The sequence below is a fragment of the Homo sapiens genome, chromosome Y (assembly GCF_000001405.40).
Source record: "Homo sapiens chromosome Y, GRCh38.p14 Primary Assembly".
NCBI classification, from domain to species: domain Eukaryota; kingdom Metazoa; phylum Chordata; class Mammalia; order Primates; family Hominidae; genus Homo; species Homo sapiens.
In genome coordinates this window covers 22,119,780-22,144,839 of record NC_000024.10, presented here as the reverse complement: position 1 = coordinate 22,144,839, position 25,060 = coordinate 22,119,780, and the positions used below count along the sequence as shown (strand labels likewise).

The window sequence follows — 25,060 nt, the reverse complement described above, 5'->3', positions numbered from 1 at the left end:
TGAATCTTTATGAAACTGACACTGCTATGATTTCTAGGTGCACCCCGCTTGTGTTCCCCAGAGTTGCTGTCTCCCACGTAAGTCTTCCTGCAGAACCATACAGCCTCAGAAACTGCTGGGTGGTGTGTTTCTGTAAAATTATTGTGAGTCTTTGATGTCTGTGTATGGGTGTGGCTTTTTTTAGCACTGTGTGTTTATGTGTGTGTGTGTGTGTGTGTGTGTGTGTGTGTGTGTGTGCGCACCTGTAAGTGAAGTCTGCTTAAAGGAATGTGGCTAATGCGCTGCAGCACTATTTTTTTTTTTAAGTCTCCCAACCTTTGGGTCACATGCCTGTGTGGCTCTGCTTAAGCTGCAGGGCTCTGTGTTTTTTAATTTTCTCTGGATCATGAATCCAAAGTGTACTGGGAGGCTGGCTGTGAGACACCAAGGTCCACATCACCTCTGCCTGCCAAAAAAAGCTGCTCTTCTAGAAAGAAAAGGAGCACAACACACGCAATAACAGACATCCTTCAGTATTCCATTGTCCAGTGGTCATCCCAGGAAGAAACACTAGCATTCATGTCCTCAGGGCCCTTGAATTTACCTTGAATTCAGTTCATAACTGAGCAGTTTCTTCAGATCCTGAGAAGGCACTCCTAGATCATCTTGGGATTTCATTTAGGGAAAGAGAACATGAACAGCAATAAGGTCAGAAGGGGTAAGGATGCAATCTGGTGAGAAGTGGGTGGGGTCCCACACTTCCAATTGCAAAAAATGTGAAGACAGATGACAGAGAAAGTGATTCCAACTGCATTCTCAAATTTCCTTAATTACGCAAGTAGTCCACACTATGGCCTGATGTTCAGGTGGGAGTACTCCAATGTGCAGAGAACATTTGAAATGCAAACCGGGCCATCCTGGCAAACTCCCAATTTGAGGGCTTTCATACTCTGCTCCAAATGAAAGTGAGACCTATAGATACAACGTGGGATGTGACCTCCACACTTGCCTCTTCTTTTCATGTCTTCCATATTCCTTGTCAGCCTGGGGTTTCCTGGATCTGGCTCAACATCTTCCCAGATGGCTCAACGGTAAAGGTTTTCCAGTGTTTCCTTCTAAACACTGTCACGTTTTAATGACTGGGCAGCTGTGATAATTTTAAAACCATAAACTCCTTTTACAGCTGCCAACAAGGAAACTCTTGCTCTCCAAATTTTATTGGAGTGCTGCATGATTCCTGTAGGAAGAGAAGCAGGCAGCGATGTTTGGCTTTTTTCTGGTAATCTACACTGTGTTTCATTGCATCTGCACATCCTTTCTCATTGTGGAGGTGGTCTTTCATTGGGCTGTTGCTGGATGGGGCTGCCTCTTACAACAGATCTATGGGCTGCCAGGGATTTCAGTGAGCAAAATGGACTCTGGGTAGGTTTAGTGCCTCTCCAGGTTGTGGGTCGCTGTCTCGTTATGGGTTGTTTGCACTTTGAAGGAGGCTTTTGAGTTCTCTGACAGGAATTTTTGAATATTGCTTAGATTCCAGCACAAGCCATCTTTTTCTCACACACACACCTTGATTTTTCTTTGCTTTCCTGGGAAGTCCACAGTGCCCCTCAACAGCACTACTGGACACCCTTTTCTGGCTTGCCATGGCCACAGATGGCCTCTGAGATACTGTCTCAACCTTATCTGTACCCATGAGAGGCCAGTTTGAGGTTTGAGAACACTGCTCCATTTTGGACTTGCCTTTGTCTTGGTTCCTGTGCTTCACAGAGAGACCCTGCGAGGTCCAGAATGATGGGAGACAGTGAGGTTAAGGGCCCAACCATCATTCATAGACACCCAATTCTAGGGTCTCAGGTATAATTCCATCACCCAAACACCCCTCCTCAACTCACCAGACTACATTCCAATCCCCATAAGACCTGATTCTTGCACACAGCCTCTTTCGGAAAGGGAGTCAGAAGAGCAGTTTTTAGCGACCACCTCACAGTCTCTAAATGCCTCCTACTCCTGTGGGAACTGAACACAGAGACAGCCCGAAGTGACCCTAATTTCGAGCCTTGTAGGGTCCCGCAGTGTGTTATCACAGGCAGCCTATTTCCCATTACCAGCTGGCTCTACCTGTACCATTTTCTTCTGCTTCCACAGGCTGACAGCTGTGAAAGCCAGGCCACTGAGCATGCCCTCAAATGCGCATGAGCTAGTCTCCAGGCACCAGGCCTGATTGTGAGCTCTAGCTAGCATCACAATGAATGTCACCCTTACACAGCTACAAGTCCCAGCTGCTTGGCCAAGAAGGAGACCTCCATAGAGGTGCCTTGTGGTGGACTCTTGCTTGTCTTCTCTGGGGGATCCACAGGATAGATCCATGTTCCTAGGAGAGGGCAGACGTGAGCCAGCGTGAAGAAACTTCAAGCAGAGCCCAAGGAATAAACTGCAAAGTCCCTAAGGTTACAAAAGCATCTGCAGGATTTCTCAGGCCTGCCTAGATGTAGGGTTGAGTCTTTTTGAAACTCACCCAACTGTGATTTCTAGGTAGATCCCACTGTGTTTGCCGGGGTTTCTCTCTCCCAGGTGGGGATTTCTGCAGAAACACACAGCCTCAGAAGCTGCCAGGCTCTGTTTCTGAGGGAGTGTTAAAAGGGTTGGATGTCTGGGTGTGGTGTGGCTTTTTGGCTTTGTGTGTTTTTGTGTGTGTGTGCGTGCGTGCACACACGCATGCACCTGTTAGTGGAATCTGCTTAAAGGGATGTGGATAACACACTGCAGAGCTTCTTTTATTTGAGACTTCCAACATTTTGTTTGCCCATCTGTGTGGCTCTGCTTGGTCTGGAGGCCTCCCTGTTCTTTATTTTTCTGTGAATTATGAACCTGCGGTGAATTGCAAGGCTGGCTGTGACACGCGGGGTCCTCATAACCAACCGCTGGAAAAAAACAAAGCCACCCTCTAGAAAGATGAGCAGCACACCACAGCCAAGAACAGAAATCCTTCAGTGTGTCATTTTTCTGTGGCCATCCCAGGGAGAAACACTAGCAGTCCTGCCCACAGGGCCCCACGAATTTACCTCAATTTTGGTTCATAGCCGAGCAGATACTTCCCATCATCAGGATTCACTCCTCCATCACCTTGAGATTTCATCCTGGGACATACAGTGTGAGTAGCAATAAGGTCAGATAGCGTGAGGATACAATCTGATGAGGGGTGGATGGGGTCCCACACCTTCACCTGCAAAAGTATAAAGACAGATGACACAAAACGTGCTTCAAACAGCATTCCCACATTTCCTTAATTGCACAAGCAGTCCACAACTTGGCCCAGTGTTTAGTTGGGAGTACTCCAATGTGCAGGGAATATTTGGAGTACAAACTGCGGCCACCCTGGCCAACTATCGATTTGAGGGCTTTCATAGGCAGAACAAAATGGCAGTGAGATTGATTGATACAAGGTGGGATGTGGCCTCCACACTTGCCTTTTCATATCCTGACATACGTGTGCCTCATCATCCTATGGATTCTTGGGTATGGCTCAATGTCTTCCATGCTAAACATTTCCCAGTTCATGGAAGTTGACCCTCAGGGGAATACATTGAGTGAGTGTTTCCTTCTAAACACTGTCACATTTCAATGACTGGGCAGCTGTGATAATTTTAAAATAGTAACTTCCTGTTACTGCTGCCAACAAGGAAACTCTTGTTCTCTAGGTTTTATCGAAAGGTTAAGCAGGCAGCCGTGTCTGTATTTCACCTGGTAATACCGGCTCTGTTTCATTTTATCTGCACATCCTTTCTCATTGTGTAGGGGGTCTTTTATAGGGCTGTTGGTGGATGGGGCTACTTCTCACCACAAATTTATTGGCTGACAGGGATATCAAGGAGCACAAGGGACTTCAGGCAGGCTGGCCGCATCCCAGGTTCTGTGTCTTGGTCTCATTTTGTGGGATGAGGTTGTTTGCACTTTGCAGGAGGTTTCAGGGCCCTCTGACAGGAATCTTTGAACATTGCTTGGACTCCAGCCCAAGGCAGCTCTTTCTCTCATACGAGCTTTGATTTTTTTGCTTTCATGCCAGTCACTAGCACTACTGGACACCCTTTTCAGGGTTACAATCACCAAAGACAGCCTCTGAGACACTGTCTCAACCTCATCTGCCCCTGTAAGAGGCCAGTTTGAGGTGTGGTTCCCGCTTACCCGAGAGAGATCCTATGAGGCCAAGAATGAAGGGAGGCACTGAGGTTAAGGCCCTGGTCATTTTTAATTGACACCCATCTCTGGGGTATCAGGTAGGATTCTATCACCCAAAGACCCCTAAACAATGCACCAGACTACATTCCAATCCCCATGGTACCCAATTCTTGCACACAGCCTCTTTCGGGAATGGAGTCACAAGAGCAGTTTTTCACGACAAACTCACAGTCTAAAAATAGAAATGCATTCTCATCCTGCGGGACCCAGCATCAAAGATGGCCAAAGGGGCACTAAGGATGAGACTTTTAGGGTCCCAGAGTGGGTTATCACAGGTGGCATTTTCCTGGATAACTTTCTGGCTCTGCATGTATCATTTTCCTCTGCTTAGGCAGGCTGACAGCTCTAACAGCAGGGCCTGAAAATGCGCATGCTGTAGTCTTGAGGCACCAGGCCTGACTGTGAGCTCTAACTAGTGCCACAATGAATTTCACCATTGCCTAGTGACAATTTCTGCATCTTGGCAAAGAAGGAGATGTCCGTGGAGGTGTATCAGTCATGAATTCTCACCTGCCTTCTATGTGTGATCCACAGGATTGTCCCATGAGCCTAGGAGAGGGCAGATGTAAGCCAGCCTGTAGTAGCATCAAGAAGAGGCCCAGGAATAAACCACAATATTTCTCAGGATCCAGAAACATCTGCAACATTTTTCAGATGTGTCTAGACATTGTAGAGGTGAGTCTTTTTGAAACTTGCCCTATTGTGATTTCTAGGTACAGCCTGCCTGTGTTCCCCCAGGGTTGCTCTCTCCCAGGTGGGGTTACCTTCAGAACCAAGCAGCCTCAGGAGCTGCTGGGCTGTGTGTTTTTGTGACAGTGTTGTGAGTGTTGGATGTCTCTGTGTGTGTGTAGCATTGTGTGTTTCTCTGTGTGTGTTTGTGTGTGTATGTGTGCCTGTAAAGGGAGTCTTCTTAAAGCAATGTGGCTAACATACTTCAGTGTTATTATTATTATTGTTATTTTGAGTCTTCCAACCTTTTGGTGGCCTGTCTGTGTGGCTCTTCCTGGGCTGCAAAGCTTCATGTTCTTTATTTTTCTGTGAATTATGAATCCGACATGAATTGGGAGGTGGGCTGAGTCCCACTGGTGTCCAAATCACCTCCCCCTGCAGAAAAACCCACACTTCTAGAAAGAAGATGAGCACACCACATCAAAAAAACAAACAAACAAAAAACTCCCCCACAAACAGACATTTTTTGGTGTTTCATTGTCCTGCAGCTAAACAGGGGGAGACACTAGCAGTCCTGTGCAGAGGGCCACTTGAACTCACCTTGAATTCAGTTCCAAGCCTAGCAGGTGCTTCACATCATGAGGGGACACTCCTCCACCATGCTAGGATTTTATCCTGGGACATAGAGTGTGAGCAGCAGTAAGGTCAGATACAGGTGAAGATACAATCTAGTGAAAGGTGGTTGGGGCCCTGTAACTTCACCTGCAATAAAAATAAAGTCAGATGACACAGAAAGTGTTTCCAACTCCATCCACACATTCCCTTAATTGCAGAAGCAGTCCACACAATGGCATGGTGTTAAGGTGGGAATACTGCAACATACAATGGACATTTGGAGGGCAAATTGGGGCCATCCTGGCAAACTGCCGATTTGTGGGCTTTCATATTCAGAGATCAATAAGAGTGGAATGGATTGATGCTGGGTGGGATGTGGCCTCCACATTTTCCTCTTCTTCTTCTGACTTCTATATTCCTCACCTGCCTAGAGTTTCCTGTGTCTGGCTCAACCACTTCCACACTAAAGCTTTCCCAGTTCACAGAGTGTTTCCTTCTAAACACTGTCACCTTTTAATGACTGGGTAGCTTTGATATTTTAAAACTGAAAATTCCCATTACTGCTGCCAAAATAAACTCTTTTTCTCCCACTTCTTTCAAATGGCTGCATAATACCTGTAGGATGAACAGCCTTGTCTGGCCTTTGCCTGGTAATCTAGCCTCTGTTTCATTTCATCTGGATGGCCTTTTCATTGTGGAGGGGCACTTTCACTGGGCTGTTGCTGGATGTGACTGCCTTTTGCCACAGATTATTTAGCTGCCAGAGATTTTAGAGGGCAAAAGGGACTTCGGGCAGGCTCCTGCCATCCAGGTTATGGGTCGTTGCCTTATTGGGGGGCTAAGGTTGTTTGCACTTTGCAGGGGGCTTTTAGGTCCTCTGATAAGAATCACTGAACATTGCTTGGACTCCAGCACAAAGCATCGCATTCTGTCAGACATGTCTTGATTTTTCTTTGCTTTCATGGGTAATTCACAGTGAATCTCAACGGCACTAATATTCACCTTTTTTAGGTTTGCCATCACCACAGATGGCCTCAGAGACACTGTCTCAACCTCGTCTGTGCCCGTTGGAGGCCAGTCTGAGGTGTGAGAACACTGCTTCACCTTGTAGTTGCCTTTGTCATTGTAACTGCCTTTCCCAGAGAGCCCCTGTTAGGCCCAAGATGAAGGGAGGCAGTGAGATCAAGATCTCAGCCATCTTTTGCTGACACAAGCCTCTGGGGTTGTGTCAGCAAAATAATCCTTGACAACACACCAGACTATACTGCAATCCCCATGTGACCTGATTCTTGCACACACACATTCTTATTTGGGAATGCAGTCAGAGAAGCAGTTTGCAGCGACTATCTCCCAGTCTCAAAATGCCTCCTCCTCCGATGAAAAACTGACCACAGAGACAGCCTGAAGGGGCTCTGATGTAGAGACTTTTAGGGTCCCGCAGTGGGTTTTTGCAGTCATATTTTTTCCGATACCAGGCTGGCTCTGCCTGTATTATTTTTCTCTCCTTAAGCAGACTGACTGCTGTGACAAATAGGCACCTGAGCCTGCTTCACGAATGCACATACACTAGTCTCAGGGCACCAGGACTGATTGTGAGACCTTGCTAGCATCACAATGACTGTGGCTGCTGCATAGTGAGAAGTCCCTGTGGCTTGGCAGAGAAAGAGACCTTTGTGGAGGTGCATCAGTGTTGAACTCTCACCTCTCTTCTCTGTGAGATACATGGCATAGTCCCATGATCCTAGGAGAGGGCAGACTTCAGCCAGCCTGAAGAAATGTCAAGCTCAGCCCCAGGAATAAACCACAAAATCCCTAAGATCCAAAAGGATCTGCAGAATTCCTCAGGCCTGCTAGACATTGTAGGGGTGAATCTTCTTGAAACTTGCCCCACTATGATATCTAGGTACATCCCGCCTGTGTTCACTGGGGTTGCTCTCTCCCAGGTGGGACATCCTGCAGAATCACACAGCTTCAGGTGCTGCCAGGATATTTCTTTCTGTGGGATTGTTGTGACTGTTGGATGTCTGTGTTCGTGTGTGGCACTGTGTGTGTTTTGTATTTGTGTGTGCCCGTTAGTGGAGTCTGCTTAAATGCTTAAAAGAATGTGGCTAACACACGTCAGTGCTTCTTTTTTTTTTTTTTTTTTTTTTTTTTTAGACTGTAACCCTTTTGTGGGCACCCTATATGGCTTTGCTTGGGCTGCGGGACCTCATGTTCTTGATTTTTCTGTGGATCATGAATCCACTGTGAATTGGGAGGCATGCCAAGACCTGCCGGCATCCAAATCAACTCCCCCTGCAAAAGAAAAGCCACTCTTCTAGAAAGAAGAGGAACACACCCCACCAAAAAACAGACATCTTCCTGTATTTTATTGTCCTGCAGCCATCTCAGAGAGAGACACTAGCAATCCTGTCCACTGGACCCCTGGAATTTACCTCAAATTAGATTCCTATCTGAGCAGGTACTTTACATCATGAGGGGACCCTCCTCCATCATCTTAGGATTTCATCCTGGGACATACAGTGTAAGAAGCAATACAGTCAGATGGGGTGAGGATACAATCTGGTGAGAGATGGATTGGGTCCTACAACTTCACCTGCAACACTGAGAAAGACAGATGACACAGAAGGTGCTTCCAACACCATTCGCACATTCCTTTAATTGCACAAGCAGTCCATACAATGGCCCGATGTTGAGGTGGGAGTACTCCAACACGCCAAAAACATTTGGTGTGCAAATTGGGTCCATCCTGGCTAACTCCTGATTTGATGGCTTTCATACCCAGAGTCAAACGGGAGTGCAACGGAATGACGCTGTGTGGGATGTGGCCTCCACACTTTCCTCTTTGTTTCTGACTTCCATTTTTCTCATCGGTCTAGGGTTTCCTGAGTTTGGCTCAATGAATTCCACACTAAACATTTCCCAGTTCATGAAAATCTGCCCTCATGGGAATCCATTGTGTGAGTGTTTCCTTCTAAACTCTGTCACATTTTAATGAATGGATCTCATTGATACTGTTAAAAGCATAAATTCCTGTTACAGCCTCCAAAAAGAAATTTTAGTTCTCTCACTTCCATTGCACAGCTGCATGATTCCTGTAGGATGAGAAGCTGGAAGCCATGCCTGGCTTTTGCCTATTAATCTAGCCTCTTATTTCTTTCATCTTCATGGCCTTCTCATTCTGGAAGGGCTCTATCATTGGGCTGCTGCTGGATGGGACTGACTCTCACCACAGGTTATTTAGATGCTAGGGATTTCAGAGGGCCAAATGGACTTTGGGTAGGCTGGCTGCATTATAGATACTTGGTCATTGTCTCTTTGTGGGGGTTAAGGATGTTTGCACTTTGCAGGAGGCCTGTGGATCCTCTGACAGGATTCAGTGAACATTGCTTGGGTTCCAGCATAAAGCAGCTCATTCTCTCAAGTGAGCCTTGATTTTTCAAGGCTTTCATGGGGCATCCACTCTTCCTTGTCAACAGCACTGAAACACCCATTTCACACTTGCGTCTCCACAGAGGGTCTCTGAGACACAGTCTCAACCTCATCTGCACCAAGAGAGGACAGTATGAGGTGTGAGAACACTGCTTCACCTTGGAATTGCCTTTTTATTGGTTCCTGCCTTTCCTAGAGAGGTCCTTCAAAACCCAGGATGAGGGAGGCAGTGAGATCAAGAGCCCAGCCATCTTTCACTGACACTTACCTCTAGGGTCTCAGGTATGATTCTATCATCTAAAGTACCCTCAAAAACACTCCAGACTATATTACAATCCCTATGGGACCTGATTCTTGCACACACCGTCTTTCAGAAATTGAGTCAGAAGACCAGTTTCCAGAGCCACCTCACAGTCTTGAATGGCCTCTTCCTCCAGCAAGAGGAGAGTGCCTGGATAGGCACTGAGTTTGAGACTTTTAGGGTCCCACTGTGGGTTTTCTCAGGCAGCATTTTTTGAGATACCGGGCCAGTTCTTTTTGTACCATTACCCTGAGCCTAGGCAGGGTAACAGCTCTAACAGCTGCACACTCGAACCTGCCCAGTGAATGCACATTGGCTAGTCTCAAGGCACCAGTCCTGACTGTGAGTTCTGGCTAGCTTCACAATGAACATCACCATTGCAAAGCGACATGACCCTGTATCTTGGCAGAAAAGGAGACCTCCATGGACGTGCATCGGTGGTGGACTCTTGCCTTTCTTCTCTGTGGGATCAATGCAATAGTCCCATGATCTTAGGATAGGGCAGACATAAGGCATTTTGAAGATACATCAAGTACAGTTCTGGGAATAAACCGCAAAATTTCTAATGATCCAAAAAGATCTGCAGGACTCCTCAGCCCTGCCTAGACGTTGTAGGGGTGAGTCATTTTGAAACTTGCTGCACTGTGATTTCTAGGTAAAATCTGCCTGTTTTCGCCAGGGTTGCTGTGTCTCAGGTGAAGCTTCCTGCAGAATCATGCAGCCTCAGGAGCTGCCAAACTGTGCATTTCTTGGAAATGTTGTGAGTGTTGGATGTCTGCATGTGAGTGTGACATTGTCTGTGTGTGCCTGTAAGTGGAGTCTGCTTAAAGGAATGTGCTAATGCACTTCAGCCTTTTTTTTTTTTTTTTTTTTTTGAGTCTCATGACCTATTTTTGGTCTGTGTGGTTTACATGGGCTGCAGAGCTCCATGTTGTTTATTTTCATGTGGATCATGACCCATCAGTGAACTGGGAGGCACGCCAAAATGCACCAACCTCCAAGTCACCACCCCCTGCAAAAAAGCCACTCTTCTAGACAGAAGAGGAGCACACCATACACACACAAAAAAACAGACATATCCCAGTATTTTATAGTCCTGCAACCACCTCAGGGAGAGACACTAGCAGTCCTGTAAACAAGGCCCCTTAAATTTACCTTGAATTCAGTTCCCAGCTGAGCAGATGCTTCCTGTCATGAGGGGCACTCTTACATTGACTTGGGATTTCATCCTGTGAAATAGAGTGTGAGGAGCAGTATGGTCAGATAGGGGTGAGGATACAATCTGGTGAGGGATGGGTGGGGTCCCACAACTTCACCTGAAAAAAAAATGAAGACAGATGACACAGAAGGTGCTTCCAACTCCATCCCTGCATTCCTTTAATTACAAAAGCAGTCCACACCATGACCCGGTGTTCAGGTGGGAGTACTCCAACATGCAAGGAACATTTGGAGTAGAAATTGGAGCAATCCAAGCAAACTCACGATTTGAGAGTTTTCATATTCAGAGACAAATGGGAGTGGAATGGATTGATGCTGGCTGTGATGTGGCCTTTACACTTGCCTCTTCCTATATTGACATCCGTGTTCTTCATTGGATTAGGGTTTTCTGGGTCTGGCTCAGTGACTTCTACAACAAATGTTTTCCATTTCACGGAGAAAGATCCTCATGAGAATCCATTGCATGGGTGTTTTCTTCTAACCACTGTCAGGTTTTAATGACTGGGAAGCTTTGACATTGTTAAAACTGTAAATTCCCATTACTGCCACCAACAAGAAAACTTTTGTTCTCCCATATCTACCAGGGGGCTGCATGATTCTTGCAGGATGAAAAGCACACAGATGTGTCAATTTTTCCTGGTAATCTAGCCTCTATTTCATTTCATCTGCATGGCATTCTCACTGTGAAGGGTCTTTTTCATTGGGCTGTTGCTGGATGGGACTGCCTCTAGCTACAGATTATTTAGCTGCCAGGGATTTCAGAGAGCAAAAGGGTCATCAAGTAGTCTGGCTGCATTCCATGTCATTGGTTGTGGGGGCTCAGAATGTTTGCACTATGCAGGATGCTTTTGGGTTCTTTGACAGGACTCACTGAACATTGCATAGACTCCAGCACAAGGTAGCTCATTCTCTCAGGCAAGCCTTGGGTTTTCTTCGTTTTCATGGGGAATCCACATTGCCCCTTAACAGCACTACTGGACACCATTTTCAGGCTGGCCATCCCAACAAACGGCCTCTGAGACACTGTTTCAACCTCATCTGCACCCAAGAGAGGGCAGTACAAGGTGGGAGAACAGTGATCCAACTCTGACTTGCCTTTGTTGTAGTTTCTGCCTTTCCTAGAGAGCCCCTGTGAGGTCAAAGTTGAAGGAAGGCAGTGAGGTCAAGAGTCTGGCCATCTTTTCATGATATCCACTTCTGGGGTCTCAGGTATGATTCTATCACACAAAGAACCCTCAACAACACACCAGTCTATATTTTAATCCCCATGGTACTCAATTCTTGCACACAGCCTTTTTCCAGAATGAAATCTGAAGAGCAGTTTCTAGAAACTATCTCACAGTCACAAAATGCCTCCTCCTCCAGTGGAAGTCGACCACCACGATGGCCTGGAGGGTCCCTGAGGTTGGGAGTTTTAGGACCTTGCAGTCTTTTTCACAGGCAGCCTTTTTCACAGGCAGCCTTTTTCCTGATACCAGGCCAACTCTGCCTGTAGCATTATTGTCTACTTAGGCAGGCTGATAGCTCTGACAGCCATGCTCCCCAGCTTGCCTCATGAATGTGCATGCACTAGCCTCAGGGCACTAGGCCTCATTGTGAACTCTGGCTTGCCTCAGTATAAATGTCACCATTATCTAGCAATAAGTCCCTTTGTCTCGGCAAAGGAGAATTCTGTGGAGGTGTCTCAGTGGTGAACTCTCAACTGTCTTCTCTGTGGGATCCATAGATAGTCCCATGATCTTAGGAGAGGGCATATGTGAGCCAGCCTGAAGAAACATCAAATACAGCTCCAGGAATAAACCACAAAATCCCTAAGGATCCAAAAGGATCTACAGGATTCCTCCAGCCTGCCTAGACATTGTAGGGGTGAGTCCTCTTGAAACTTGCCCCACTGTGATTTTTAAGTACAGGCCCCCTGTGTTCACCAGGGTGGCTCTCTCCAGGTGGGGCTTCTTGTAGAACCACACAGCCTCAGGAGCTCCTGGACTGTGTGTTTCTGTGGGAGTGTTGTGAGTGTTGAATATCTGTGTGTTTGATGTCTGTGTGTCTGTGTGGCATTGGGTGTGTGTGTGTGTTTCTGTGTGTGTGACTGTAAGTGCAGTCTGCTTATAACAATGTGGCTAACACACTACAGCATCTCTCTCTCTCCCTTACTTCTTTCCTTCCTTCTTTCCTTCCTTCCTTCCTTCCTTCCTTCCTTCCTTCCCTCCCTCCCTCCCTCCCTCCCTCCCTCCCTCTCTCTCTCTCTCTGTCTCTCTTTCTTTCTCTTTCTTTCTTTCTTTCTTTCTTTCTTTCTTTCTTTCTTTCTTTCTTTCTTTCTTTCTTTCTTTCTTTCTTTCTTTCTTTCTTTCTTGTCTCCCAACCCGTTGATGGCCTGTCTATGTGGCTTACCTTGGGCTGCATCGCTCTGTGTTCTTTATTTTTCTGTGAATCATGAGCCTGCAGTGGACTGGGAGGCATGCCAACATGTGCTGGCATCCAAATAACATCCGCCTGCAAAAAAAAAAAAAAAATGCCACTCTTCTAGACAGAAAAGGAGCACAAATACTAAAGGTTTCCCAGTTTGTGGAGAATGATCATCATGGGAATCCATTGTTTAGTGTTTTCTTCTAAACACTGTCACAATTTAATGAGTGGGACATTTTGATAGGTTTAAAACCATAAATTCCTGTCACAGACACCAACAAGAAAACTCTTGTCCTCTCACTTCTATCAGAGGCCTGCATGATTCCTGCAGGATGAGATACAGGCAACAGTGTCTTGCTTTTCCTGGTAATCTAGCCTCTGTTTAATGTCATCTGCATGGCCTTCTCATTGTGGAGGGGCTCTTTCATTGGGATGTTGCTGGATTGGACTGCCTTTCACCACAGATTATTTAGTGGCCAGGGATTTCAGAGATCATAAAAAATGACAGGTATTCTGGCTGCTCTCCAGGTTTTGGGCTGTTGCCTCTTTGCGGGGGCTGAGGATGTATGCACTTTGCAGGATGGTTTTGCGCCCTGTGACAGGAATCATTGAACATTGCTTGGGCTCCAGCACAAGACAGTTTGTTCTGTAGTGAGCCTTGATTTTTGTTTGCTTTCATGGGGAATCCACAGTGCCCATCAACAGCAATACTGGACACCCTTTCAAGGCTTGCCATCACCACAGCTGGACTCTGAGACACTGTCTCAACTCATTTGCACTTGTGAGAGGCCAGGCCATAGTGTGAGAACATTACTCCAACTTTGATTTGCCTTTGTCTTGGTTCTGGCTTTTCCCAGAGAGCCCTGCGAGGCTCAGGATGAAGGGAGGAATTGAGATCAAGAGCCTGGCCATCTTTCACTGACACCCACCTCTGGGGTCTCAGGTATTATTCTATCACTGAAAGAGCTGTCAACAACACAGCAGACTATATTCCAATCCCTGCTGGAACGGATTCTTGCATATAGATCTTTCTTGAATGGAGTCAGAAGAGCAGTTTCCTGTGACCACCTCACAGTAACAAAATGCTTCTGCCTCCAGCAGGACCCGACCACCGAGACAGCCTGGAGTGTTCACCAGTTTGACAGTTTTAGGGTCCTGAAGTGAGTGTTTGCAGGCAGCGTTTTTTTTTTTACACCAGCACGGCTCTGCCTTTACCATTTTCCTCTGCTTAGGTAGGGTGACAGCTCTGACAGCACTGCACCCGAGCCTCCCTCACGAATGTGCATGTGCTAGTCTTAGGGCACCAGGCCTGATTTTTGAGTTCTGGCTAGCATCACAGTGCATGCCACCGTTGCCTAGCAACAAGTCCCTGCTACTTGGTGGAGAAGATTTCCATGAAAGTGTGTTGGTTTTGATCTCTCACCTGTCTTCTCTGTGGAATCCATGACATAACCCACATTCCTAGGAGGGGGCAGACGTGAGCCAGCTTGAAGAGACATCAAGCACAGCCCCAGGAATAAACCATAATATCCCTAAGGATGCAAAAGATCTTCAGGATTCCTCAGGACAGCCTAGATGTTGTAGGGGTGAGTCTTTTTGAAACTTGCCTCATAGTGATTTCTAGGTACAGCCCAAATGTTTTTTTGGGTTGCTGTCTCCAAGATGGGGATTCCCACAGAACCATGCAGCCTCAGGAGCTGCCAGTGTGTGTTTATCTGTGGGAGTGTTGTGAGTGTTGTTTGTGTGTGTGTGTGGCATTGTGTGTGTGTGTATGTGCCTGTAAGTGGAGTATGCTTAAAATAATGTGGCTAATGCACTTCAGCGCTTCTTTTTTTGAGTATCCCAACATTCTGTTGGGTGGTCAGTGTGGCTCTGCTTGGGCTGTGGGGCTCCATGTTCTTTATTTTTCTGTGGATCATGAATCTGCAGTGAATTGGGAAGCAAGTTGAAACACATGGGCATTCAAGTTACCTCCCCCTGCAAAAAAATGCCACTCTTCTAGAAAGAAGAGGAACACACCACAGCAAAAATAAGACATCTTCCAGTGTTTTGTTGTCCTGTGGTGAACCCAGGGAGAAAATATAGCAGTACTGTCTGCAAAGCCGCTTGACTTTACCTCGTATATGGGTCACAGCTGAGCACGTGTTTCATGTCGTGAGTGGGCACTCCAACATCGCCTTGAGATTTCATCCTGGAACATAGAGGGTGAGCAGCAATAAGTTCAGGTAGGGTTGAGGATACAATCTGGTGAGTGGTTCATGGGGTCCCACAATATCTCTGCAAAAAAATAAATAGATAAGTAAATGAAGACAGATGACCCAGAAGGTGCTTCCAACTCCATAGCTAGTTGTTCAGTTGGCAGTACTCCAACGAGCAGGGAACATTTCAAGAGCAAACTGGGGCCATCCTTGTAAACTCCCACTATGTGGGCTTTTATATCCGGAGCCAAAGGAGAGTGTATTGGATTGATGCTGGATAGGATGTGGCCTATATACTTACCTCTTCTTTTTCTGCCTTTCATGTTGCTCTTCAGCCTAGGGTTTTCTGGGTCTGAATCCACGTCTTCCAAACTAAAACTTTCTGAGTTCACAGAGGAAGACCCTCATGGAAATCCACTGCGTGAGTGTTTCTTTCTAAACTGTCAAGTTTTAATGACTGGGCAGCTGTGATACTTGTAAAAACTTAAATTCCTCTTACAGCCACCAACATGGAAATTCTTGTTCTCCCACTTTTATCAGAGGGCTGCATGATTCCTGTAGGAGGATATGCAGGCAGTCGTTCTGCATTTGCCTGGTAATCTTGGCTTTGTTTCACTTCATCTGCACGTCCTTCTTCGCTGTGGAGTGGATCTTTCATTGGATCTTGCCGGATTGGACTGCCTCTCACTACAGATCTTTTGGCTACCAGGAATTTCAGGAAGCATAAAGAACTTTGTGTAGACTGGCTATGCCCCAGGTTTTGTGTCATCAGTCTCCTTGTGGAGGCTGATGTTGTTCACACTTTTCAGGAGGCTTTTGGGTCCTCTGACAAAAATCTTTGAACATTGCTTGAACTCCCACACAAGTCAGCTTGTTCTCCCAGATGAACCTAGATTCTTCTTTGCTTTTATGGGGGGTCCACTTTGCACCTCATCAGCACTACTGGATAGCCTTTTCTGGCTTGCTATCACCACAGATGCCTCTGATACACTGTCACAACCTCATCTGCACCCATGAGAGGCCAGTTTGAGGTGTGGGAACAATACTTTATCTTGGACTTGCTTTTGTCGTGGTTTCTGCCTCTCCCGGAGAGTCCCTGATAGGTCCAGGATGATGGGAGACAGTGAGGTCAAGGGGCCAGCCATCTTTTGCTCACACCTGCCTCTTGGGTCTCAGCAATGATTCCATCACCAAAGGACCCATCAAAAACTCACCAAAGGGCATTCCAATCCCCATGGGAATGGAATCTTGCACACAGCCTCTCTGGGGAATGAAGGCAGAGATGCAGATTACAAAGGCCAGTTCAGTCTCAAAGCGACTCCTCCTTCAGTGGAACCTGACCTCAGAGACTGCCAAAATGGCCCTATGGTCTAGACTTTTTCGATCTGGCAGTGGGTTATCACAGGTAGTATTTTTGGCCATGCCAGGCCAGCTCTGCCTGTACCAATTTCCTCTGCTTAAGCAGGCTGACAGCTCTGAGAGCCAGGTGCCTGATCCTTCCTCAAGAATGCACAGTCACCTGTCTCTGTGGTATCCACGGGATTGTCCCATGATCCTAGCCTGGAGAAACATCAACCACAGCTCCAGGAATACACTGCAAAATCCCTAAGGATGCAAAAGGATATGCTGGAATCCTCAGGCCTGCCGAGGCATTGTAGGAGTGAGTCTTTTTGAAACTTGCCCCACTGAAATTTCTAGGTACAGTTCTCCTGTGTTTCTTGGTGTTGCTCTCTCCCAAGTTGGGATTCCTGCAGAATCACGCAGCCACAGGAGCTATCCAACTTTTTTTTGTGTGTGGGAGTGTTGTGAATCTTGGATGTCTGCCTGTGTGTGTGGCATTGTGTATTTGTTTGTGTGTGTTTGTGTGCCTGTAAGTGGAGACTGCTTAAAATAATGTGGCTAATGCACTTCAGTGCTTCATTTTTTTTTTTGTCTCCAAACCTTTCTGGTGGAGTGTTGCAAGTGTTGGATGTCTGAATGCGTGTGTGGCATTGAGTGTTTGTGTATATGCGTGTGTGTGATTGTATGTGCAGTCTGCTTAAAGGAATGTTGCTAACGCACTTCAGTGCTTCCTTTTTTTGTGTCTACCCAACTTCTGTTGGCTTGTCTGTGTGGCTCTGCTTGGGCTGTGGGGCTCTTTCCCAGGTGGTGTTTCCTGCACAACAATGCATCCTGAGTAGTTTCTGGGTTGGGTATTTCTGTAGGAGTGTCGCAAATGTTGGATGTCTGTGTGTGTGTGGCATTGTGTGTGCCATAAAAACCACCATTCTAGAAAGAAGAGGAGCACACAACACCAAAAAATAGATATCTTTCAGTGTTTTATTGTCCTTTGGCAAACCCAGGAGAGACATTAGCAGTCCTGTCCACAGGGTCTCTTGAATTAACCTCGAATTCCCTTCCCAGCTGAACAGGTGATTCACATCTTGCTGGGGTGGGGGGCACATTTTAAAAATCATTTTGGGATTTCACCCTAGGACATAGAGTGTGGATAGCATTAAGTTCAGACAGAGGTAAAGATACAATCTTGTGAGGGGTGCATGGGGTGACAAAACTTTACCTGCAAGAAAAATGAAGACAGATGACACAGAAGGTGCTTTCAGCCTCATCGCGTAGTGTTCAGTTGGAAGTACTCCAACGGGCAGGGAACATTTGAATTGCAAACTGGGGATATCCTGGCAAACTCCGGATTTGAGGGCTTTCATACCCGCAGCCAAATGGGAGTGAGATGGATTGATGATGGGTAGGATGTGGCCTTCACACTTGCCTATTCTTTTTCTGACTTCCTTATTTCTTGTGGGCCTAGGGTTTCCTGGGTCTGGCTCTAAGTCTTTCACACTAAATGTTTCCCATTTTGCGGAGGACGACCCTCATGGGAATCCATTGCTTGAGTGTTTCCTTCTAAACACTGTGACATTTTAATGAGTGGGCAGCTGTGATACCTTTAACATGATAAATTCCCATTACAGCCACTGACAAGGAAACTGTTTTTCTCCCACTTATATCAGAGGGCTGCATGATTCCTGTAGGATGAGAAGCAGGCCATCGTGCCTGGCTTTTAACTGGTAAACTAGACTCTGTTTCATTTCAGTTGCACGTCCTTTCTCATCATGGAGGGTGTTGCTGGACAGGACTGCCTCTTGCCACAGATCTTTTGGCTGCCAGGGATTTCAGGGACCAAAAGAGACTTTGAATAGGATTGCTGTGCTCCAGGTGGTGGGTCATGGTCTCCATCTGGGGGCTGAGGTTGTTTGAATTTTGCAGGAGGATTTTGGGTCCTCTGATGGAAATCTTGGAACGTTGCTAGGCCTCCAGCACAAATCAGCTCATTCTCTCAGGAGAGCCTTCATTTTTCACTCCTTTCATGTGTGGTCCACTGTGTCCCTCAAAAGCACTACTGGATACTTTTTCCAGGCTGGCAATCACCACAGAGGGCATGTGAGACATTGTCTCAACATCATCTGCATGCATGATAGGCCTTTTGGAGGTGTGAGAATGGAGCTCCACTTTGGACTTTCCTTTGTTGGTGTTCCTGGCTTTCCCAGAGAGTGGCAGTGAGGCCCAGTGTGGAGGGAGACAGTGAGGTTAAGGACCCAGTCATCTTTCACTGACAACCACCTCTGGTGTCTCAGCTATGATTCCATTAACTAAAGATCCCTCAACAACACACTAGCCTATATTCCAATCCCCAGGGGACTTGATTCTTGCACACAACCTCTTTCATAAATGGAGTCAGAAGAGAATTTTTCAGTAACCACCTCAGCATCTCGAAACACCTCACCTTACTGTGTGACCCAGCCACAGAGGTGTCCTGAAGATGTTCTCAGGTGGAGACTTTTAGGGTCCCGCCTTAGCTTATTGCAGGCTGCCTTTTTCCTGCTCCCAAACATTCTCTGCCTGTACCATTTTCCTCTGCTTAGGCAGTCTGACAGCTCTGACATCCAGATGCCAGAGTTGGCTTCATGAATATCCATGTGCTTGTCTCAGGGCACAAGGCCTGAGCTGTGGTCTCTGGCTAGAGTCACAATGAATGCCACCTTTGCCTAGTGACAACTCCTGCAGCTTCACAGAAAAGGAGACCTCCATGGAGGTGCTTTGGTGTTGGACTTTCCCTTGTTTTCTTTGTGGGATCCAAGGAACAGTCCCATGATCCTAAGAGATGGTACAGTGAGCCAGCCTGAAGAAATGTCAAGGAGAGTCCTAGAAATAGACTGAGAAATCCCTACACATACAAAAAGATCTGCACAATGCCGCAGGCTTGCCTAGAGGTTGTAGGATGAATCTTTTTGAAACTTACCCCACTGTGATTTCTAGGTACAGCCGAGCTGTTTTCCCTAGGTTTATTCCTCCAGGTGGAGCTTCCTGCAGAACCAGGCAGCCTCAGAAGCAGCCAGGCTGTGTTTCTGTGGAAGTGTTTTGCAAGTGTTGGATGTCTTCACGTGTTTGTGGCTTAGAGTGTGTGTGTGTGTGTGTGTGCACGCGCGTTTTTATGTGTGTGCCTGTAAGTGGAATCTCCTTAAAGGAATGTGGCTAACGAATTTCAGCACTTTTTTTTTTTTGAGTCTCAGAAACTTTTGGTGGCCTCTCTGTGTGGGTCTGCTTGGGCTCCAGAGGTCCATGTTCTTTATATTTCTGTGGACTATTAATCCGCAGTGAATTTGAAGGTGAGCTGATACATGTGGGCATCCAAGTCACCTCACCCTGCAAGAAAATTGACTCCTTTAGAAAGAAAAGGGGCACACCACACCAAAAAAGAGGCATCTCTCAGTGTTTTATTTTCCTGTGGCCAACCCACAGAGAGACAATAGCAGTCCTGTCTGCAGGTCCCCTTGAATGTACCTTGAATTCGGTTCCCAGCCCAGCAGGTGCTTCACGTCATGAGGAAACACTCCTCCATCATTTTGGGATTTCCTTCTGTGAAATAGATTGTGAACAAGTCAGATAGGAGTGAAGATACAATTTGGTGAAGAGTAAATGGTGTCCTGCAACTTCACCTGCCAAAAAAAAAAAAAAAAAAATGAAGGCAGATGACACAGAAGTGGTTTCCCACTCCATCCCCACATTCTTTTAATTGCACAAGCAGTCCACGCAATGGCCTGGTGTTCAAGTGGAGTCCTGCAACGTGCCAGGAAAAGTTGGAGTGCAAATTGGGGCCATTCTGACAAACTCCAGATTTGGGGTTTTTCATACCTGGAGCCAAATGGGACTGGAAAGGACTGATGCTGAATGGGGATGTGGCCTTCATGTTTGCCTCTTCTTTCCCTGACTTCCATGTTCCTTGTCAGCCTATGGTTTCCTGAGTCTGGCTTAATCACTTGCACGCTAAAGGTTTCCCCCTGCACGGAGAACGACCCTCATGGGAATCCATTGAGTGAGTGTTTCTTTCTAAGCACTGTTATGTTTAAATGACTGGGCAGCTTTGATACTTTTAAAATCATAAATTACCACTACCGCTGCCAACAAGGAAAGTCACGGTACTACATTCCTATCCCCTTGGGACCAGATTCTTGCACACAGCCTATTCCGGAAATGAAGTCAGAAGAACAGTTTCCACCCACCACTTCACAGTCTTGAAATGCCTCATACTCCAGCGGAACCCAACCACGGAGACGATAAGAAGTAGCCCTAAGGTCGAGACATTTAGAGTACCACAGGATATTACCCCAGGCAAACTTTTTCTCAGTATGAAGGCGGCTCTACTTGTACCATCTTCCTCTGCCTAGGAAGGCTGACAGCCAGTACATGAGCCATCCACACAAATGCACGTTTGCTAGTCTCAGGGCACGAGGCCTTAGTTTTGAGCTCTGGCTAGCATCACAATGAATGCCACAGTGGCCTAAGTCTACACATCTTGGCAGAGAAGGGGACCTCTGTGGAGTTGTGGATCCTCAAGATAGTTCCATGATCCTAGAAGAAGGCAGATATGAACAAGCCTGAAGAAACATCAAGCAGAGCTTCAGGAATAAACCACAAAATTCATAAGGATCTAAAAGATCTGCGGGATGTCTCAGGCATGCCTAGATGTTGTAGCAGTGAGTCTTTTGAAACCTACCCCACTTTGATTTCTAACTACAGCCCACCTGTGTTCCCCAAAGTTCCTGTCTTTCAATTAAGGCTTCCTGCAGGACCACGCAAACTCAGAACCTGCCATGCTGTGTTCTTCTGTGGAAGTGTTGCAAGTGTTAGATATCTCCGTGTTTGTGTGGCTTTGTGTGTGTGTGTTTATGTGTTAGTGTGTGGCTAAGTGGAGTCTGCTTAATGGAATGTGGATAACACACTGCATCGCTTCCTTTTTTTGAAACTCCACACCTTTTGGTGGCCTGTTGGTGTGGCTCTGCTTGAGTTGCAGGGCTCTGTGTCCCTTATTTTTCTGTGGACTATGAATTTGCAGTGAATTAGGAGACTGTCTGAGAGAGGCATAGGTTCAAGTTACCTCCCCCTGCAAAAAAAGCCATTCTTCTAGAAAGAAGAGGAGCACATCACACCCCAAAACAATGTGTTTCATTCTGTGTTTCATTGTTCTGCAGCCAACCCAGTGTGAGAAACTAGCAGTCCTATGTGAAGGGACCTTTGAATTTACTTTGAATTCTGTTCTCAGCTGAGTAGGTGCTTCATGTCCTCATATGGCACTCCTCCATCATCTTGTGATTTCATTCTGGGACAGAGAGTGTGAGAAGTAACAAGGTAAAATAGGGGTGAGGATACAATCTGGTGAGGGGTAAATAGAGTTCAGCACATTCTCCTGCAAAAACGGTGAAGACAGATGACACAGAAGGTACTTCCAACTGCATGCCCACATTCCCTTAATTACACAGGCAGTTCATATTATGTCCTGGTGTTGAGGTGGGAGTAATACAATGTTGAGGGAACATTTGGAGTGCAAGCTGGGGCGGTTCTAACAAGCTCCCGATTTGAGAGCTCTCATACCCTGAGCCAAATGAGAGTGGGATGTGTTGATGCTGGGTGGGATGTGCCCTGCACACTTGTCTCTTCTTTTCCTGACTTCCATGTTCCTCATCGGCCTAGGGCTTCCTGGGTCTGGCTCCACATCTTCCACACTAAGCAATTCACAGTTCATGGGGGATGACCTTCATGGGAATCCAATGCATGAGTGTTTTCTTCTAAACACTGTCACATTTTAAAGACTGGAAAGATGTGATAATTTTAACACTGTAAGTTTTCGTTACAGCCACCAATAAAGAAACTCTTGTTCTCCCACTTTTATCAGAGGGCTGCATGATTCCTCTAGCATGAAAAGCAGGCAGCTGTGTTGGGCTTTTGCCTGGTAATCTAGCCCCTGTTTCATTGCATCTGCCAGTCCTTTCTCAATGCGAATGAGGTCTTTCATTGGGCTGTTGCTGGATGGGGTTGCCTCTCACCACAGACCAATTGGCTGTCAGGGATTTCAAGGATGAAAAGGGACTTTGGGTAGGCTGACTTCATCCAGGTTGTAGTTTGTGGTGTCATTGTGAGTGCTAAAGTTGTTTGCAGTCTGCAGAAGGTTTTTGGATACTCTGACTGGAATCATTGAACATTGCTTGGATGCAAGCTCAAGGCAAGTCATTTTCTGAAGTGAGCTTTGATGTTTCTTTGCTTTCATAGGGAATCCACAGTGCCCCTCAACTGCACTACTGTTCACCAGTTTCAGGCTTGCCATCACCACAGAGGGCATCTGAGATATTGTCTGAACCTCATCTGCACCCATGAGAGACCAGATCGAGGTGAGAACACTGGCCCTCTTTGGAATTCCCTTTGTCATGGTTCCTGCCTTTTGTGGAGGGCCCCAGCAAGGCCCAGGGTGGAGAGAGACAGTGAGGTAAAGAGCCCAGCCATCTTTCACTGACACCCATCTCTGGGATCTCAGGTATAATTCTGTCACCCAAAGAACCCTCAACAACACACCAGACCAAATTCTGATTCTCATGGGATGGGATTCTTGCAAAAAGCATCCTTTCGGAATGGAGTAGGAAGAGCAGTTTCTAGTCGCCACCTCAGAGTCTCAAAATGCCTCCTCCTCCAGCAAGACTCGACCATGGAGATGGCCAGAAGGGGCCCTGAGGTCGAGACCTTGGGGTCTGACAGTGGTTTCTCATGGGAAACCTTTTTCCCAAGACCAGACTGACTTTACCTGCACAATTTTTCTCTTCTTAGGCAGACTGATAGCTCTGACAGCTAGGTGCCTGTACCTGCCTCAGGAATGCATATGCACTAGTCTCAGGACACCAGTCCTCATTGTGAGCTCTGGCTAGCATCACAATGAATGTCATCATTGCCTAGAGACAAGTTCCTGCCTCTTGAGGAAGGAGACCTCCCTGTAGGTATGTCGGCTGTGGACTCTTGCCTGTCTTCTCTGTGGGATCCAAGAGATAGTCCCATGATCCTACGAGAGAGTAGATGTGAGCCAGCCAAAAGAAACATCAAACAGAGGCCCAGGAATAAATTGCAAAATCCCTAAGGATCCAAAAGATCTGCAGGATTCCTCAGGCCTGCCTAGATGTTGTAGGGGTGAGTCTTTTTCAAACTTGTTCCATTGTGATTTCTAGTTACAGCCTGCATGTTCCCCTGGGTTGCTGTCTCCCAAAAGGGGATCTAGCAAAACCATGCAGCGTCAGAAGCTAACAAGCAGTGTGTTTCTTCAGGATTCTTGCAAGTGTTGGATGTCTGCCTGTGTGTGTGGTATTTTGTGTGTGTGTGTGTGTGTGTGTGTGTGTGCGCCTGTAAGTCACTTCTGCTTAAAGGAATGTGGCAAACACACTCCAGGGCTTCATCTTTTTTGAGTCTCCCAATCATTTGTTGGCCTGTCTGTGTGGCTCTGCTTCAGTTGTGAGGCTTTGTGTTATTTATTTTTGTGTGGATCATGAGTCTGCAGCAAATTGAGAGGTGGGCAGAGACCTGCCAATGTCCAAATCACCTGCCCCTGCAAAGAAAACCACACTTCTGTAAAGAAGAGAAGCACACCACACCAAAAAACAGACATCTCCCAGTGTTTCATTGTCCTGTGTCCCACCCAGAAAGAAACACTAGCAGTCCTCTGCAGAAACCCCTGAATTTACATCGAATTTGGCTCCCAGCTGAGCGGTTCTTCATGTCATGATGGGGCACTCCTCCTTTGTCTTGGGATATCATCCTGGGACATAGAATATGAGCAGGGAGAAATTCAGATATGGGTGAGGATACAATCTGGTGAGGAGTGGATGGGGCTCTGCAAATTCATCTGCAAAAAAAAAATAAATACAAATGACAAAGATCCTTCTTTAAACTCCATCCCTGCATTTCCTTAATTACACAAGCTGTCCATACCTTGGCCCAGTGTTCAGGTGGGAGTACTCTAATGTGCAAAAAACATTTGGACTGCAAATTGAAGCCATCTTGGTAAACCCTGGATTTGAGGCCTTTTACACCCAGAGGCAAATGGGAGTGGAATGGGTTGATGCTGTGTGGGATGTGGCCTCCACACTGGCCTCTTCTTTTCTGACTTCCATGTTCCTCATCAGCCTAGGATTTCCTAGGCTGAGCCTAGGGTCTGACTCAACGACTTCCACACTAAACATTTCAGAATTCACAGAGAATGGGCCTTATGAAAATTCACTGTCTTACTGCCTCTTTCTAAACACTGTCATGTGTCAATGACTGTGCAGCTTTGAATTTTTTAAAACCATAAATTCTCATTACAGCCATCATAAGGAAACTGTTGTTCACCCATTTCTATCAGAGGGCTGAATGATTCCCGAAAAGTGAGAAGAAGACAGCCATGTCTGCTTTGACCTTGTAATCTAGCCTCTGTTTCACCTTGTCTGCATGGCCTTCTAATTGGGGAGGGTCTCTTTCACTGGGCTGTTGCTGAATGGAACTGCCCCTCACCACACATCTTTTGGCTGCCAGGGATTTGAGAGAGCAAAAGGGACTTTGGGTAGGCTGGCTGCACTCTAGCTTGTGGTGCTTTTCTCATTGTGGGAGCTGAGGTTGTTTACATTTTCCAGGAGGATTTTGGGTCCTCTGACAGGAATTA

The 25,060-nt window shown here is 46.5% G+C and overlaps 1 long non-coding RNA gene across 1 annotated transcript in view; it reads left to right on the top strand.

Moving 5' to 3' along the window:
- The window catches only part of LOC102725532 (uncharacterized), a 45,849-nt gene that overhangs the window by 2,701 nt on the left and 18,088 nt on the right, over window positions 1-25,060 (top strand). Inside the window, exons 3-7 of the long non-coding RNA XR_001756092.1 lie at window positions 4,750-4,890; window positions 14,859-15,081; window positions 15,390-15,475; window positions 22,654-22,772; window positions 23,203-23,556. This is a non-coding gene — a long non-coding RNA (uncharacterized LOC102725532). The remainder of the gene's footprint in view (window positions 1-4,749; window positions 4,891-14,858; window positions 15,082-15,389; window positions 15,476-22,653; window positions 22,773-23,202; window positions 23,557-25,060) is intronic.